Source organism: Homo sapiens, chromosome 11 (assembly GCF_000001405.40).
Source record: "Homo sapiens chromosome 11, GRCh38.p14 Primary Assembly".
Lineage (NCBI taxonomy): Eukaryota > Metazoa > Chordata > Mammalia > Primates > Hominidae > Homo > Homo sapiens.
Genome location: NC_000011.10, coordinates 59,472,424 through 59,491,652, shown reverse-complemented (window position 1 = coordinate 59,491,652; position 19,229 = coordinate 59,472,424). Strand labels below are relative to the sequence as shown.

Genomic DNA, 19,229 nt, shown 5'->3' with positions numbered 1-19,229 from the left:
TTGAATCATCCTCTTTATTCTCTTTTGTTTCAAGCTATGTCATACAACAGCACAGGGATGTTTATTTTATTGTCCTCCCAAGCACACTAGAATGCAATTCAGAAACTTCCTTCGTGATTGCAGTGTTCGCTATTTGCTGCATTGTCCACATTTTTAAGATAGCAATCAGTTTGGTGATCAAATTATCACATGCAAAGTCATTCAATAATTATTTTCCTATGAAACTATTTTGGGAAAGAATAATCGTATCATGTTTAATAGTGACATTTACATATTATATTTAATATAATTGATTATTTTTATTATATTTATTATTTATTTTTATATCCATGCAAACTTATTGGTTGCCAGGAACTGTGAAGTGTTAAATACAAAGATAAGTTAGACATAGTTCCAGCCATTAGGAAACTTATAGTCTACACACTTAATAGTCATAGTAGCTAATATTCTGTTGACTTCAAGAGAGTCTTATCTTGCTGTTCTATTTCTTATTGCAATGTTGCTGTGTCACGGATCAATTTCCTAGCTCTTGGTTGTATTCTGTCAGATTTCTTAAAATTGCAGCCTATGATTTCATTTAGTCAACTTGTCCTTGTCACTACTTTACACTAATCAGATTTTTTGCTTAATATTTATTTGAAAGCATGTTAAATTTGCTATTAGGAAACAGATTTGAAACAACATGTAAAAACAAATCTCAAAGAATACAATTAATGTTTTTGATTGTGGTAAAAACAGTTAACACGACATCTATTCTTTTAACAAATTTTTAAGTGTACCAGTAGAGGACTGTTTACTATAGGTACAATGTTGTACAGAAATTCCCTAGGACTTACACATCTTGTATATGTATAACTGAAACTTTGTGCACATTGACCAACAACTCCCCTCTTCCCTCTCCCATCAGCCCCTGGCAATTACCATTCTACTTTCAGTTTCAATGAATTTGACTATTTTAGAAGTGGAATCGTGCAGTATTTGTCCTTTTGAGAGTGAATAGCACTAAAATATGTTATTGTAATAATTTTGTTTTCTGTTTATTTTAAGAAAATATTTTCATCTCATCTTGTTACTTAATGCTGCTGTGGAGGTCAAAAGGTTCTGATTTTTCTAGATGTAAGAAGTGAAAGGACCATCAGCCGGTTCTTATTTTTGTTTTAGCTGCTGCTGTATTATTAATACTGTTATTATTATCAGTTAGTTTTCTACCCTGTGCAGGAACGCATTTTGATAAGAACCTTCAGTGATTTTGGAAATCTGAAAGGTGATTAGTTTTTTCCCAAAAGGAAGAATTTTCCTGCTGAGAGAGACAGTGAGATGTAGTGAAGAGAGCTCTGGATTTGGGAGATTGGAGCATTGGTTCCATCTAGTTCTTATTCTGCCATCAACTAGCTGAATGACTGGGGCTCTGACTCCTCATCTCTGGACTGTATCAAATGGATTCAGTGTGGACATTATCAGTTTGAACCAGCAGGGAGGAGGAGGGATCCGAGCTAAGGAGGAGATTCATTTAAGAGGTTACAAGACTGACCCTGGGGTCTTATTGTTGATCCCCAATTTCCGGCTCTGTCAAAAGGTGGGAACCAACTGGTAATCTACTTTTTTCTCCTGTCCCGTTCTTCCTCCTTTCCTGTCTCCACCATCAGTAGGTCCATTTGTAGGTGGTTGGGAGAAAACCAGTTGGAGAGTCATGATCCTCCTCTAGTATTCATACCCCAAGAGTTAAAATGTCCTGTGAACGGTTGTCTTATTTATTCCTATGAAGAAGAGTTTTTTATTTCTTCCCTACAATAAAGAAATGATGCTCAGAAAGGTGAGTTCATTTGCCCAAACTCACAACAGTGGTAAGTGATGGAACTGAACTTCCAATGTGATTCTTTTAGCTCCAAAGCCAACATTCCATCTGCTACAACATACAATCTTTGTTTAAGCATTCAGTTGACCAGAATTATGTCTTTGCATTAGGGTAAAGGTGGCAGAAAAACTGTCCCAGATGAGATATTTATAAAAAAATAATAAAATTCCAAGATAAGTTTGAGGTTAGCATGAGTTTAACCCAACCAATCTCCCACCCCTTCTGTAACAATCTCAGTAAGTTTGTGCAGCAAGAATTGATGCCATTAAAATGGAACCTGACTCTCTAAAGTTGGACTCGATTACATTCCTGAGACTGCATTTATCAGGGCAAGTGAGAAGGCATTTATTTAGCCAATGAGCCCTTTAACCCTTCAACACACATTTTGTGATCTTCGTGGGGTGGTTGGAATTCTGCATATACACATGACCACAGCAAGGTTCTTACTCAGGAGCATTTTTCACTCTAATGGAAAATACAAAAATATAAGTTTATAATCACACATGAGAGATGATGCTGGTACCAATATAGTGCTGTGGGAGCACAGCAGAGCTCTAGCTGGGAATAGCGCAGGAAGGTTTTCTAGAGGAGGTGAGTTTTTCCCCTCAGTCATGATCAATTTCCAAGAAATGGAAGCAGGATACATCATGCAAAGGAAACAGCCTGTAAAAAGTCAGTCAGTAGTGAAGATGACATACTTATACAGAAGAATATTGGAAAATGCAGTGTGGTTGGCACAGAGTGGGAGAGTGTGGAATGAAAGGAGGTTTTTATTAGTACCAAAAATTTCTTACTCTACTAATAAAGAGCTTATTATTATTATTATTATTTGAGATGGAGTCTTGCTGTCTGGCCCAGGCTGGAGTGCAGTGGCATGATCTTGGCTCACTGCAACCTCTGCCTCCTGGGTTCAAGCTATTCTCCTGCTTCAGCCTCCCCAGTAGCTGGGATTACAGATGTGTGCCACCACGCCTGGCTAATTTTTGTATTTTTAGTAGTGACGGGGTTTCACCATGTTGGCCAGGCTGATCTCGAATTCCTGACCTCATGACCCGTGGCAGCCTCCCAAAGTGCTGGGGTAATAGGCGTGAGCCACTGCGCCCCGCCAAGAGCTTATCATTACATTCAGTGTTTGTTAGGTACTGGTTGGTTAGTGCATGATTGAACTGTCTACTGACCTCCTTGTTCTCATATTCAGGATAGTAAAGCCTAAAATGTTCCTCCATGGTGGGTGGGGGCAATGTCCTTCGACTTCTTTACTCTCAACTTTGATCCATGAATTTCTAGTATCATGTGGAGGAGGGTGTTCTGGAAAGTGGTGATGGAAGGCTGTGGTTCTCGCTCCAGTGTGGAGGAGAGAAAAAGACAGTGACCCCTTCTGAGAGGCAGCCTACACTGTCTCATTAGACTTTCTTCTGCTCTTTCCCTTTTTGGATCAAAGTAAGAGGGTGTTGGGACCATGCAGCAGTGAGAGACATTGTCATCTTTAGAATAATGCCAATGTTTATAAGCTGTCATTGATCATTTGAAGGAAACATTTTAAATTATTATTACTTGCTCCACCTAGTGAATATTTATTGCAATCTTCAAATGCATATGGATAAATTGGACCACATTGTCAGTGTTTAACAAGATAGATTTGGGTGAGATTGGAAGCATGATAGAAGATATGATGATTTCCAGTAAAAACAAAAGCTTTTACTTTTCTGAGTGATTCCTATGTGTGAAGCAGCATAAAATTTGATTAATTTAATTCTTACCACCATCTATTGGGTAAGCATTGATGCTATTCCTGTACTTCACATGAAATATTTCCAGAATCTATGTTTGGCTGAAGGAACAGATGTATAAAATACAAAAGATGGAAATAGGATAAAAGAAATAGTGCCTTTTCCCCAGTATTCTACATGGGCTCTAAATTTTTCTAGAAAGATTGTTTGAAAAAAGTTGTGAAGATAAACATTTGACAGAAAGAGACCTTACCAATAAGCAACTCAAAGGGTCACAGCAAATGCATGATGCTTTCTCTCACACCGAATAAACTACATTTCTGTATCTCTCTCTTTTTTTTGAGACGGAGTCTCGTTCTGTCATCCAGGCTGGAGTGCAGTGGTGCGATCTCAGCTCACTGCAACATCCACTTCCAGGGTTCAGGTGATTCTCCTGCCTCAGCCTCCTGAGTAGCTGGGATTACAGGCACCGGCCATCATGCCCAGCTAATTTCTGTATTTTGGTAGAGACAGGGTTTCACCACGTTGGCCAGGCTAGTGAACTCCTGACCTCAGGTAATCTGCCTGCTTCAGCATCCCGAAGGGCTGGGATTACAGGCGTGAGCCACCGCACCTGGCCTCTGTATCGCTCTTAACATGAGTCTCCCCAATATTTAACACCCACCTTTCTTGTTTCTGTCAGTGAGATGATCACCTTGACTCTGAAGCATTTAATATACCTGAAAAGATAATATACCTGAAAAAAGTCAAATTATTTATATGTAATTAGTAACAACATTTCAATTTCAGTATACATAACCTTAACCTTAGCTAGCAGGTTGATGGCTTTAGTTTCTTCCTCTGATCCTGAAACTCCAAAAAAAAAAATTGGATGCTATTAGATACAGTGCATGACAGAAGATTGTTGACATTAATTCTTGAAGATTTTGTCTAAAGGTAGAGCCCTTTGGAATACCAGATATCTTGGTGTCTGCTCCACTTTCAGGAGAGAAAGGGCCGACTCAAGGTATCACATCTTTAAAATTCTTCCATTGTGTCCCTGTCTTATGCCCAAATCCCTGAGGCTCATGCTTAATTTAAGAATCGCAAAGAGAATGTTATTGGACAAGAGAGTGGAAATTAAGTGGCTGATTTTGCCGTTGGTAATGGAGTTTTAATGGGAGTTATTAAAATGTTACCAAAGCATGCACATGTACACACAGACACATACAGGCACATTTTGGTTGGTGTCCAAGTTCTTTAGAGGCAATAGAAGAAATCTATCCCCTTGACCACAGTTCACTAAAAGCTTTGTTAAAACGTTCCGAGTGCTATGCCAGCAAGACTTTGAGTCCAATTTTCACAGCTTGCAATGCTCAGAGGACACCATCTACCTGGGTTTCAACTAGATTGCCAAAAACCTAGGAGAACTGGACCTCAAATAATTTGCTACCAGTCCAGTTTCTAATTATACACAGAATGGTCGTAGCTCCATGACATTTCTATAAGCATCCACATAAATAGAATCACAATTTAGACAATGTTTGGTGGATGCATATTTTCTCATATGGGATATTTCAATTTGGAGATAGCTAGATCAGTATAACTTAGTAAAACTATCCAACAATTAACAGTGTTAATTTAGAATAACTTGTTTATTGAATGGTTTGATATATAGAACTCACATTCACTATTTCCACAATGATGATGAGTTTGGATTTTCCTGCTTTTCAACTTTTTTTTTTTGAAAGCAAGTTTATCTACAAAGATAAGAACATGAAACAGGTCATGTATGTTGAAATGGGTAATTTTTGGCCAGGAGTGATGGCTCTGGCCTGTAATCCCCTTACTTTGTGACGCCGAAGTGGGTGGATCACTTGGGGCCAGGAGATCGAGACCAGCCTGGGCAGCATCGTGAAACTCTGTCTCTACTAAAAATACAAAAATTAGCCATGCGTGGTGGCGTGTGCCTGTGGTCCCAGATGCTTAGACAGGAGAATTGTTCGAACCCAGGAGGCAGAGGTTGCCGTGAGCCAAGATCGTGCCACTGTACTCCAGTCTGGGTGACACAGCAAGCCTTCGTCTCAAGAAAAAAAAAAAAAAAGAGGTAATTTTTGTTGTTTCATGTTCAGGAGCCAGGTAATTTGGTCCCAGAGAACCACACTGAATGGAACTTTGCCTCCATCCTCTTCTGTCTGAGTAATCAAATTTTAAGTTTAATTGGAAACAAGAATTGATATGTGAATAGGATGCAGTAATCACTTTCATGTGAGACAGGGACTTAGTGATTATATAAGTTGTCTGGCATCTGTGATTTATATCAAATACACAGAAAAGTGTAAAAACCTGTTCAGTTATTACTCGAGTCTATTTTATACCCAAGACATTGAAAGTACAGCAGTGAATAAAACAGACCCAAATCCTGTCCTCATAGAGTGTTCTAGTTGGATGACCCAGATAATAAATAACGTAAATAAAATGTATGTAGTACGTTGGTGATAAACAGAACAAAAACCGTTAGGCAGGGCAGTGAGATAGGCAGCAATGGATAAAACTGCAAATTATAAAAGGGTATTAAGGTGAGGGGGGTATGTTTTTGGAACATCAACAAGGCCGGTGTTTAACAGATGACGTGAAAAGGTAATGGGTGGGTAATGTTTTGGTGAACTATTAGGCCATTGTGAGAATTTGATTTCTATTCTGAGTGAAATTGGAGGTTTTAAGAGGAAAACTCTTGCATCTGTAATTTTTCATACTTAAGAGCAGAAATGGAGGCTGGGTGCGGTGGCTCACGCCTGTAATCCCAGCACTTTCAGAGGCCAAGGTGGGCAGATTTCTTGAGTCCTGGAATTCAAGACCAGCCTGGGTAACATGGCAAAATCCTGTCTTTCCCCAAGGTACAAAAATTAGCCAGGTATGGTGGTGCATACCTGTACTCCCAGCTACTTGGGAGGCTGAGGCAGGAGGATCGTTTGATCCTGGGAGTTGAAGGTTGCAGTGAGCCAAGGTTGTGCCACTGCACTCCAGCCTGGGCGACAGACAAGACCCTCTCCGGAAAAAAAAAAAAAAAAGAGAAAACCTATATATCCACAGCCAAGTATATAAATATGTTAATATTTTGGCAAGCAAATTTCAGTTTCACTAAAAAATTAACTTTCTGGAGTTATAATATGGAGGGACTCTTTTGTGTTTGACTTTTTTCTTATGCTTTTGAGATTTATCCATTTTGTTGCAAGTTATCAGTTGTGTCATGTTTAACTTTTTAAGTAATTGCCAGACTATTTTATAAAGCAATTGCACTATTTGACAGCCCCACCAGCAGTGTTCCAGTGGCTCCCATACTCTTCCTGACTCTTGATATTGTTAGCAGCATGGATTTTAATGATCCTCATGGGCATGTGGTGGTATCTTATTATGGTGTTAATATGCATTTCCCTGATGACCAGTGATGTTGATCATCTTTTCAAGTACTGATTGACTAATCATATAATTTATTTTGTGGTGTGCCTATTCAAATTTGTAACTATTAAATTTTTTTTTCTGAATTTGAGTTTTAGGGATTTTAAATATATTTTGGATACCAGTTAATTATAAGAAATATGTATTGCAAAGAGTTTAACCTAGTCTACAGCTTGTTCTTAATTTTCTTAATAATGCTTTGGAAGAATAGAAATTTAAAAATTTGAAGTTCTATTATGTTTTTCTATTTTTTTAATCATGTCTAAGAAATATTTACTTACCTCAACATTGCAAACATCTTGTCCAATTTTCTTCAGAGGTTTTGTAGTTTGAACATTTATGTTTATATCTTTGATGTATTCCAAGTTAATTTTTTGCATAATGTGACTTTCAGGTGAAGGTTTTTTGTTTTCCACATGGATAGCCAGTTGTTTTCGCTCAATATATTAAAAAGATGAGTATTCTCTGCTCCTCTCTTGATTTACTCTGGCAGATTTATTTAAATTTAATTGATCATATACGTATGCCTGTATTTACAGACTTCTTTTCAAATGATCCATGTCTAGCTTCATGCCCATTTTATGTGGTATTGATGGTTGTAGCTGTCTAATAAATCTTGAATTCAGATAGTATAAGTTCTCTAACTTTGTTTTCTTTTACAAAGTTGTTTTATGTATTCTAGGTTCTTTGCATTTCCATAGAAAATTTACAATCAGGCATGGAGTCCTGGTTCATGCCTGCAATCCCAGCACTTTGGGAGGCTAAGGCAGGTGGATCACTTGAGCCCAGGAGTTTGAGACCAGCTTGGCAAATATGGTGAAACCCTGTCTCTACAATATTTATATATATATATATATAAAAGCTGGGCATGATGTCATGCGCCTGTATATAGTCCCAGCTAATTGGGAGGCCTAAGCTGGAGGACCACTTGAGCCTGGGAGGTTGAGGCTTCAGTGAGCTGAGATTGCACCACAGCACTCCAGCCTGGGTGACAGAGAGAGACCCTGTGAAAAAAAAAATTACAATCAGTTTAACAACCAAGAAGTCCTGCTAAAATTTGGATTTGGGTTACATTGATTGTATAGATTAATTTGGGCAGAATTGAAATCTTAACAATACTGAGGCTTTCAATTCGTGAATATAATCTACGTATGTCTTAATTTATGACATTTATTTTCTGTATTTCTGACTTTATTTTCTGTTAATTTTTTGTTCTTGTTTTTATTTTTTGGCATTTGTCTCTGTTCATGAGGTATTTTGGTCTATAGGTACTTTCATTTTTCTTTTTTTTTTTGTGACAGAGTCTCTCTGTTGCCCAGGCTGGCATGGTCTCAGCTCACTGCAACCTCTGCCTCCTGGGTTCAAGAGATTCTCATGCCTCAGCCTCCCAAGTAGTTGAGATTACAGGTATCCACCATGATGCCCGGCTAATTTTTGTATTTTTAGTAGAGATGGGGTTTCACCATGTCCAGGCTTCACCAGCCTGGACAAGGCTGGTCTCAAACTCCTGACCTCAGAAGATCCGCCCACCTCGGCCTCCCAAACTGCTGGGATTATAGGCATGAGCCACCGTGCCCAGCCAAGAAACCAGTTTTTAATATCAAGAAAAACAACTAAGAATTGGTTTTTTTAAAAAGATAAAATTGACAAAACTTTAGATTAAGAAAAAAAGATAGAATACTTTATTAAATAAAATTAGAAACCAAAGAGGAGACATTATAACTGATGCCACAAAAATACAAAGGACTATAAGAGAATACCATAAACTTTTTATATGCTAAAAATTTGGATAACCTAGAAGAAATGGACAAATTCCTAGAAACACACAAACTGTCAAGACTGAATCATGAATAAATAGAAAATATGAAATGGCTAATAACAGATTAAATCAGTAATCAAAAACCTTCCAGCAAGGAAGAGTCCAGGACCTGATGACTTCCCCAGTAAATTTTACCCAACATTTTCTATTTTACTAATTTTTAAAAATTAAGAAAATCTTATTGCTATATAATTGTTATACATATTTTGGGGGTACATGAGATATTTTGATACCTGCATACAATGTGTAATAATCAAAATTAGGGTAGTTGGGATATCCCTCTCTTCAAACATTTGTCTTTTCTTTGTGCTGGGAATATTACACATCTTCTCTTCTAGCTATTGTGAAATATAAAATAAATTATTTGTAACTATAATATTTATATTATAAATATACTTTCCTATTGAATACTGGAACTCATTTCCTCTACAGAACGGTGTTTTTGCACCGCTTCACCAAGTTAGTTCTCTCACCCGCATTCCCCTTCCAGACTCTGGTAACCACCGTTCTACTCTCTACCTCCATAAAATGCACTTTGTAAAACAAGTTTTTCTTATTTATTTATTTTATTTCAATAGGATTTGAGGGGAACAGGTGGCGTTTGGTTACATGGATACATTTTTTTTTTTTTAATTTTTTTGAGACAGGGTCTTCCTCTGTCGCACAGGCTGTAGTACAGTGGCACGATCTTGGCTCACTGCAAACTCCTCCTCCTGGATTCAAGTGATTCTCGTGCTTCAGCCTCCCAGTAGCTGGAATTACAGGCGGGTGCCACCACACCCGGCTCATTTCTGTATGTTTGGTAGAGATGGGGTTTCACAAGGTTGGCCAGGGTAGTCTGGAACTCCTGACCTCAGGTGATCCACCTGCCTCGGCCTCCCAAAGTGCTGGGATTACAAGTGTGAACAACAGTGCCTGGGCCACATGAGACTTTGGTGCAGTCATCACTTGAGCAGTGTACACTGTACCCAATGTGTAGCCTTTTACTCCTCACTCCCCTTCCACCCTCCCCAGTAACATGTTGTCCAGGCTGGTCTTGAACTCCTGGGCCCAAGCAGTCTTTCTATCTTGGCCTCCCAAAGTGCTGGGATTACAGGTGTGAGCCACCACACTTGGCCACTAAACATGCTTTCATACTGATGTCTCCAACACTAATCCATTATCACGTGCTTCATATTTACCTTCCCACCTTGGTTGCTTGTAAGCTCCTATTCCGACATTGAGAAATCTTTAATGTAGTTTTGAATACAGTTGTGCTTACAGCTACCATTTTGATTTTTTTTCTTTTTTCTTTTTTTTTTTTGAGATGGAGTCTCACTTTTTCACTCAGGCTGGAGTGCAGTGGTACAATCTCAGCTCACTGCTACCTCTGCCTCCCAGGTTCAAGCGATTCTCCTGCCTCAGCCTCCAAAGTAGCTGGGATTACAGGTACACGCCACCATGCCCAGCTACATTTTGTATTTTCGGTAGAGACTGGGTTTTATTATGTTGGCCAGGGGTGGTCTCAAACTCCGGAGCTTCAGTGATCCACTCGCCTCAGCCTCTCAAAGTGTTGGGATTACAGGAGTGAGCCACTGTGCGTGGCTCATTTTGCTTTTATTTAAAATTTTTTTCCCATTTATTTTTTGCTTCCTTTTATTATTTTTCTGCCTTCTTTGGGATAATTCAGTGTTTTTAGTTTTTTATTTTATTTCATTTATTGTCTTATTATCTGTATCTTGCAGTTTTATTCTATAGTGATTACTCTAGGGCCTACAATATGCATCTTTAACTCACATCAGATGGCCTTCATATGATATCACTTCATGATGAATATAAACCTTACAACAGTATATTTATTTTCCCACTCTTTTTTTGCCATACATTTTACTTTTATATTTAAATTTTTTTTTGTGATAAAAAATCTTTGGATAAATAACTGATGTGGCTTCTGTTGTCTTGACTTGACCCTGATTGGTAAAGTATTTGGTAACAGAAGTGATAGCAAAAAGCAGACTCTCAAAGGTGAGATTCTGAGATTACTTGAAACGTCCTTGGTCATGAACATCATGCTGAATTCCTTATCCACGGTAAATCAGATTCTGGCAATCCATGGCATACAAAGGCATTATAACTAACCAAATTGTCACATGTTATTGACCGTGACAATTTTCTTAGTGAAGCAAGTGCTTGAATCATGAGGTGACTCCTGTAATTGACTTTGTCAGTACTACAGGGACTGTGGAGGAGGGGTGGCTACTCCTAACTACATTGAATAAATTACACTAAAGAAATGACAAGCAGTTTATATGCTCAGCTCAAGGTGAAGTCTGGGAACCAGAGAGCTTTTTCTTTTTTTCTTTTTAAGAGTCTCACTTTGTCACCCAGGCTGGAGTCTAGTGGCACGATCTCAGCTCACTGCAGCTTCTGCTTCCCAGGCTGAAGTGATTCTTGTGCCTCAGCCTCCTGAGTAGCTGGGATTACAGGCATGTGCCACCACGTCCTGGCAAATTTTTGTATTTTTAGTAGAGACAAGGTTTCCCCATGTTGTCAAGGCTGGTCTCAAACTCTTGACCTCAAATGATCCACCTGCCTTGGCCTCCCAAAATGCTGTGATTATAGGTGTGAGCCACCATGCCTGGCCCCAGAGAGCTTTTATGCAAGTCTTCAGCTACTTATGTATTTCTTATTGCCATAGGGCTGACCTCATAGAAGTCAGATACATAATTTAATTGTGCAATGTCCTGAATTACATCAGGAATTGAGTTCAAAGGTTTTCTGTGTCTCTGTTGTGAAAAGTAGAGTGTTGATTGGAGTGGGAATATAAGGTAGCACTTAAATGGATTGCTTCCATTTTACCATAACATATAATTTGTGTTATAATATTTATATTGACTTTTTATTAGGTTAAGAAAGAATGCTTCTTTTCTTTATTTATTTATGAGTTTTGGCCATAAATTGGTGTTGAATATTATCAAGTGCTTTTCTATATTTACTGAGGTAATCACATTTTTCTTTAATCTGTAAGAAATATGTTAGCAGATTCTTTTTGCTTGTGAACATGAAAGGCAGAGACAATTGTACTTAGTTCATGAACACTGCCACTATTGGTTCAGGAAAGAATTTACCTTTATATAATGATGTATCACCTTTTATCCCTAGTTCCCACTCTCTTTCCCTGGAACTCAGAAACCATTAAGGGAACTTCGTAATGAAAGATTAAATTTCCAGCCACCACAACTGAATGGAAGCTTGAAATAGAAATCAAGTTATATAAAATTTTAAAACGTTACATTTCTTGCATGTCTAGGTTGTGGGACAATATTAGTATCAGATACAGAAAGAATTCCAGTTTCAATAAGAACTCCAGATCCCTATAAAAAATATTAAGTGAACAGCTAAAAACATAATTGCAGCAATGTGTAAAATAATCATTTTTCACTTTTTTCCAAGCTTTATATATGTATATGCATAGCTTAAAGTAGCTTAATGTGTTTTTGTCATTTGTAGAAACTCACAGGCCACAGAGTATATCAAGTAAGTGAAAACATTCAATCATTGAGCTATTTATTCAGCAACATATTGTTGAAGTCTTAGTATGTTTTAGCTGCTGTGACAGTAAATAAAACATAATCCCTGCTCCTGGGGAAGTCACTGCCCAGTAAGAGAAAGAGACAAGAAAATAGGAAATTTCAAAATAGAGTCCTGAGTGCAATGCTAACCCTAAGCACAGAGTGCCAAGGAAATGCGGTAGGGTGGCCAGTGAGCTTGGGGTTCAAGAAAGGGCAAGGTAATGACCTTGCCCATCATAAGGATCATGTAGGATACGTTTACCTTATGAAAATTATACAGAAAGTCAATCCCCAAACTCCATTGTGTTTCAGATACACCCCACACCTTCATTTACTGTAATAGGAGCAGAAAGGTAATGATAATGTCTGCGTGCATTTGGCTTAATTTTTCTTTAAAATTGGACTGCAAAATCATATACACATTTGCTAACAATTTTCCCTCTCTTTTCTGAATCACAAAGGCTCTGTTTAAATTATTAATATTTATGTCAACTAAATGCAGATAAGAAGATTTACTATATATAATATGCATTTGCTAGGTATATATATAATTTTATGTATTACTTATGAAAATAAAACAAATACTTAGCAATCACTAAATAAATATATTCAATTCAGCAGGCAACACTTTCAGAACTTGGAGTCCATGGAAGAAAAATCATGAAACAAAATCTTGGTGGTAAAGAGGAGGGAGCTCTGGTTTATTTTCAATTAGAAGGTGTGAATCTCTCCCTGACCAGAAGCTTATCAGTTACTTACTAACATAAATAGAAAAATTAATTATTACTAAGTGTAGTTGGTTTGACAATATATTTGAATATATGAATATGACTTCATGGGAAAAATAATAAATATAAGATATCTTTGGTGATGAAGAGCTGAGGATTTTTTTTTCTATTTTCTATCAGAAGGCACAAGTCTTCTCTTCAGTCTCCTCATGGCTGACTTCATCTCATGGTTCCTCAGAGTGTAGATCAAGGGGTTGAGCAGAGGGGAGATGACAGTGAAGGTGACAGAGATGGCCTTATCCATGGGGAGGGCAGTGAAGGGCCGGGCATAGACATAGATGCAGGGCACGAAATGCAGGGTCACCACAGTGATGTGGGAGGTGCAGGTGGAGATGGCTTTCCTCCTGCCCTCTCCTGCCTGAGACTTGGGTAATGATAATATGACTATGTAGGACACCAGGAGCAGGAAAAACCACAGTGTGGTGAGCAGTCCATTGTTGGAAATCATTAGTAGTTCAAGTATGAAAATGTCTGTATGGGCCAGTTTGAGGACCCGGTGGACATCACAGTAGAAAGTGTCAAGAACATTGGGTCCGCAGAAAGGGAGTGGGAGCAACAGGGAAATCTGCACGATGGAGTGGACAAAGCCCCCCAACCAGGCAGCCACTGTGAGCCCAATGCAATGGTCTCTACTCATGATAGTCGCATAGTGCAGGGGCTTGGAGATGGCCACATATCGATCCAATGCCATCACCGAAAGAGAAAATACATCCACCCCTCCAATAAGGTGGAATAGAAACATCTGAGTGAAGCAATGATTGAAGGAGATGGTCTTTCTTTCAGACAGAAGGTCCACCAGAACCTTGGGCACTGTGATGGAAGAGAAGCAGATATCGGCAATAGATAAATTATGGAGCAAAAAATACATGGGCGTGTGAAGGCGAGATTCACAGGTAACAGTGACCATGATGAGGAGGTTTCCCAGCAAAGTTGTCACATACACCAAGAGTAGGAAAAGAAATAAGACTAAGCTCACTTCCCGATTCTGGGTCAGGCCAAGGAAAATAAATTCTTTTACCCTGGTGCAGTTTTCCATCTCCATTCAATCATCCTCTTTATTCTCTTTGGTTTTAAACCATGTCATGTGAAAGCACTGGGATATTTATTTTGTTGTCTTCCTAAACACCTAGAATGCAGTGCAGAAACTTCCCATGCGGTTGTAGTTTTTGCAGTTTGTTGCATTGTTCACGTTTTTCAGATTTCAGTTAGTCTGGTGATAAAATCAAATTATCATATGTAAAGTCATTCAATAATTCTTCTCCTATAGAACTACTTTGGGAAAGAAAATATGTTAAGTAGTGACATAGTGTATTTTAAAAAATCAATTACCCATATTTAATTTGATGTTTTTGGTACAAAACTCCCAATGTAATAAATCTTTCCTCCCTTTATTCTGCTTTAAGGAAATCTTTTCATCTTTTCTTGTCACTTATACTGCTTTGGAGGTCAAAAGTTCTGGCTTTCTCAAAAGACAGAAGTGAAAGTACCAGGTTTTTTTTTTAATGTTGTGGCTGCTCCTGGTTTATGGTCACTATTATTATTATCAGTTTTTTTTTGCCCTGTACAGGAATACATTTTGATAGGAACCAACAGAAGTTTTGAAAATCTGAAAGGTGATTTTTTTTTCCCCCAAAGGAAGAATTTCGCTGCTGAGAGAGGCAGGGGGATGTAGTGAAGAGAGCTCTGGATTGGGGAGCTTGGAGCATTGGTTCCATCGGTCCTTATTCTGCCATCAACTAGCTGAATGACTGGGGCTCTGACTCCTCCACTCTGCCCTGTGTCAGATGGATTCTGTGTGGGTAATAACAGTTGGAGTCAGCAGAGATGAGTAGGAATCTGCGTCAAGGGAAAGATTCACCTGAGAGAATACAAGATTGAGTGAGGCAACATAGGGAGACCCTATGACTACAAAAAATAAAAAAAATTAGCCATGCGTGGTGGCATACACCTGTGGTCCCAGCTACTTAGGAAGCTGAAGTGGGAGGATCACTTGAGCCCCGGAAGTCCAGGCTGCAGTGAGGCATGATTGCACCCTGCACTCCAGCCTGGGTGACAGAGTGAGACCCTGTCTCAGAAAAGAGAAAAGTAGACTGAGTGAGGGTATAGACCCTGGGGTTTGAATGTTGATGCTCAATTTCAGGCTTTGTTGAAAGGTCTAACCTCCTGTCCTGTTTTTCCTTCACCTTTCCTGTCTTCACCAACAGTAGAACCTATCTTCACCTACTGCATGTGTCTGGGAGAAAATCAGCTGGAGAGCGTTGACGTCCCTGCAATCTCCATACCCCAAGAGTAAATGTGTCTTGTGAATTATTCTCTTATGTATTCCTATAAAGAAGATTTCTTAAAAAAATTTCTCCCCACAGATAAAGAAACGATCTTCAGAAAGGTAGGCTCATTTTCTCAAACTCACAGCAGTAGTAAGTGCTGGAACTGAACTTAGGATGTGATTCTGTTTACCTCCAAAGCTTACAACATTACATGTGTTACAACATATGATCATTGTTTAAGCATTCAGTTGATCAGTTGTTTCTTCCCATTTACTTTAGGGTAAAGGTGGCAGAAAAACAGTCTCAGATGAACTGTTTAAAAAATTATAAAATTTTCAGGTAAGTTTCGATCAGCATAGGTTCAGCCCAATATTCCACACCTCTGCAGCACCTCCGATAAGACTGTGCTGCAGAAATTGATGTCATTAAAATGGAACATGCCTCCTTAATGTTGGATTTGATTACATTCCTGACCCTCTATTTATTAGGCCAGTGAGAAGGCTTTTGTTTAGCCAATGAATCCTTCAGTCCTTCGGCACACATTTTGTAATCCCTATAGTGTGGCTGGGATTCTGCTAGTAATAGCAATATTCACATGACCACAGCAAAGTTCTTACTCTGGAGCAATTTTCGCTCTGATGGAAAATATAAACATGTAAGTGCATAATCACACATGGGAGATGATGCTGGTACCAATATAGCGCTGTGGAAGCACAGCAGCGCTCTAGCTGAGACTAGTGCGGGAAGCCTTCCTAGAGGAGGGGAAGTTTTCCCTCAATTTAGATGAATTTCCAGGAAACAGAAACAGGATGTATCATGCAAAGGAAACAGCCCGTAAAACGTCAGTCGGTGGTGAAGATGACATGCTTATACAGAGAACATTGGAAAATGCAGCGTGGTTAGTACAGAGGGAGGAAGTGTGGAATGGAAGGAGGTTTTTATTAGTAACAGAAACCTCATTAATAAAAGATTTATTATTACATTCAATGGTGCCTAGGTATCGTTTGGTTGGTGAATGAATGGTTTAAGCCTGCTGAGCTTCTTGTTCTCCTAATCAGGATAGGAAAGCCTGAAATGTTCATCCATGGTAGGTGGGACAATGTCCTTTGATTTCTTTTTTCTTTTTCCTTTTTTTTTTTTTTTTGAGACAGAGTCTCACTCTGTCACCCAGGCTGGAGTGCAGTGACGCTATCTCAGCTCACTGCAAGCTCCGCCTCCCGGGTTCACGCCATTCTCCTGCCTCAGCCTCCCTAGTACCTGGGACTACTGGTGAACGCCACCACGCCCGGCTAATTTTTTTTTTTGTATTTTTAGTAGAGACGGGGTTTCACTGTGTTAGCCAGGATGGTCTCGATCTCCTGACCTCGTGATCCGCCCGCCTCGGCCTCCCAAAGTGCTGAGATTACAGGCCTGAGCCTCTGCGCCCGGTCCCTTGGACTTCTTTACTCTCAACTCTGATCCATGAACTTCTAGTATTACATGGAGTGGGGTGTTCTGGAAAGTGGTGATGAAAGGTTATGGATCTTGCTTGAGTGTTGGGGTGAGAAAAAGACAGTGACCCCTTTCTGGGAGGCAGCGGATACTGTATCATCACACTTTCTTCTGCTCTATCCCTCTTTGGATCAAAGCTTAGAGGGTGGAGGGATCACACAGCAATGAGAGATATTGTCATCTTTCGAATAATGCCTATGTTTATAAGCTGTCATTGGTCATTTGGAATAAATTTTATAATTATTATTCACGCCACCTTATACATAGCCGGTGGACATATATCGCAATCTTCAAATGTATACAAATAAGTTGGGCCACATTTCTAAAGTGTTTACAGACCAACAGAAATGGAAGATTTGTGCAAATAAGTGAAGATGATACACGATAAAAAGTGAGACGTGTTGTAAGAGAAGATTTGGTTGGCACATCACCTGTGGTAAGAGATATGATCATTTCTGTCAGTAACAAAATCCAGTATTTGAGTCCTTTGTATATATGAAGTGGTATAAAAACTTGATTTATTTGTCACCACCACCCATTAGGTAAGTCTGCACTAGTGTAAATCTTGTCTTTCATATGGAATATAGCATGAATCTTTGTTGGGTGAAGAAAGAACGTATGAAATGGAAGGTATGGAAACAGTATGGAAGACACAATATTTCATTTTTTCCCCAAGTTCAGTCACTACAGGTTGAAACTTTGTATCAGAAAAGCATTTGAAAAAGTCTTTCCGAAGGTAAGCATTTGGCAGAAAGCCGCTCTGGAAACCCTTTTGCATTGACCTTAGGCTGAGGTGGCCTCACACATAAGCAACTCAAAGGGTCACAGTGAATGCATGATGCCTCCTCTCACACCAAATGGATCACATTTCCAGCATCTCCCTTAACACAATATCATTTTTTCCAATGTTTAACACCCACCTTTGTTGTTTCTGTCATTGAGATGATTATTTTAACTCTGAAGCATTTGATATACCTGAAAAATATTCAAAGTTAAATTAGTCATACATAATCAATAAAAACATCTGTTTCACTATGCATAACCTTAACCTTAGCTAGAAGTTTGTCTTTACCTAGTTCCTTTGATCCCAAAACTCCAACTACAAATTTGATGCTATTAGATATAGTGCATAACAGAAGACTACTGGCATTAATTCTTGAAAATCTTGTTTAAAAGTTAAGCCCTTTGCTATGCTAAATATCGCAGTGTCTTTGCTCTGCTTTTGGAGAGAAAAGTCAGATTCAAAGAATCATATCTTTTAAAGTTTTTCCATTGTGTCCTTGACTTATGTTCAAACCTCTGAGGCTCATGCTTAATTTATGAATTGGAAAGAGAATGTTATTGGACAACAGAGAAGTCAAGTGGCTGATTTTGCTGTTGGTAAGGGAGTTTCAATGGGAGTTATTAAAATGTTACCAAAGCATACCATGTATACACAGACACATATGGGTACATTTTGGTTGGTGGCCAAATTCTCTAGAGGCAATAGAGGAAACCTATCTCCTTAACCACAGTTCAATAAGAAATTTGTTAATACATGTCAAGTGCTATGCCAGAGAGACTTTGAGCCCAATTTTCACAGCTTGCAAGGCTCAGAGGACATCATCTACCTGTAGGTTCCAATTAGGTTGCCAAAAACCTAGGAGAACTGGACCTAAAGTAATTTGCTTCCAGTCCAGTTTCTAATTAAACACAGAGTGAATATAGCCCCACGATGCATTTTTTTGTTTTACACACACACACACACACACACACTTACTTACTGTCCATCTCATTTGAGTATGACCATGATGTTTTAATAAATGTCCATATAAACAGAAACAACTTAAGTGATATTTGGGGAATATATATTTTCCTCTTTCCAACACTACTTATGTGGACTCTTTCAGTTGGGAGACAGATGGGTCAGTGTAAGATAATAAAACTGTTCACATAAATGCAATACTTATTTTAGCCTAACTCAATTTATTGAAAGCTTTGATTTTCTATAGAATCCACCTCCACTCTTTCCAGAATGACAATGAGTTTGAACTTATTTGTGTTTTATTACATTAAACTAGTCTACAAAGAACAGCAGGAGACTGAACATGCATGTTGAGATGGATAATGCTTGGTGGTTTTTTTTTTTTTGCCTTTTTCTGGGTCTCACTAACCTGGTTCTGGAGTAGCAGACTGAATGGACCTTTGTCTCCATCCTCTTCTGTCTCAGTCATTAACGTCTGACTTGAGTGAGAAGCAGCAGATACAAGGAAAGGAAGATAATCAATTAATAAAAAGAACAAGAATGTAC

The 19,229-nt window shown here is 38.7% G+C and overlaps 1 protein-coding gene across 1 annotated transcript; it reads right to left on the bottom strand.

Annotated features, from left to right (window-relative positions):
- On the bottom strand, positions 12,292-18,338 carry OR4D10 (olfactory receptor family 4 subfamily D member 10). The gene is made up of 3 exons (NM_001004705.2): positions 18,012-18,338; positions 17,860-17,914; positions 12,292-14,391 (listed from the first exon to the last, which is right to left on the bottom strand). Exon 3 carries the CDS (start codon positions 14,221-14,223, stop codon positions 13,288-13,290), a length of 936 nt encoding a protein of 311 aa, NP_001004705.1. The 5' UTR covers positions 14,224-14,391; positions 17,860-17,914; positions 18,012-18,338; the 3' UTR covers positions 12,292-13,287.
- Positions 18,339-19,229: the final 891 nt, after the last annotated feature.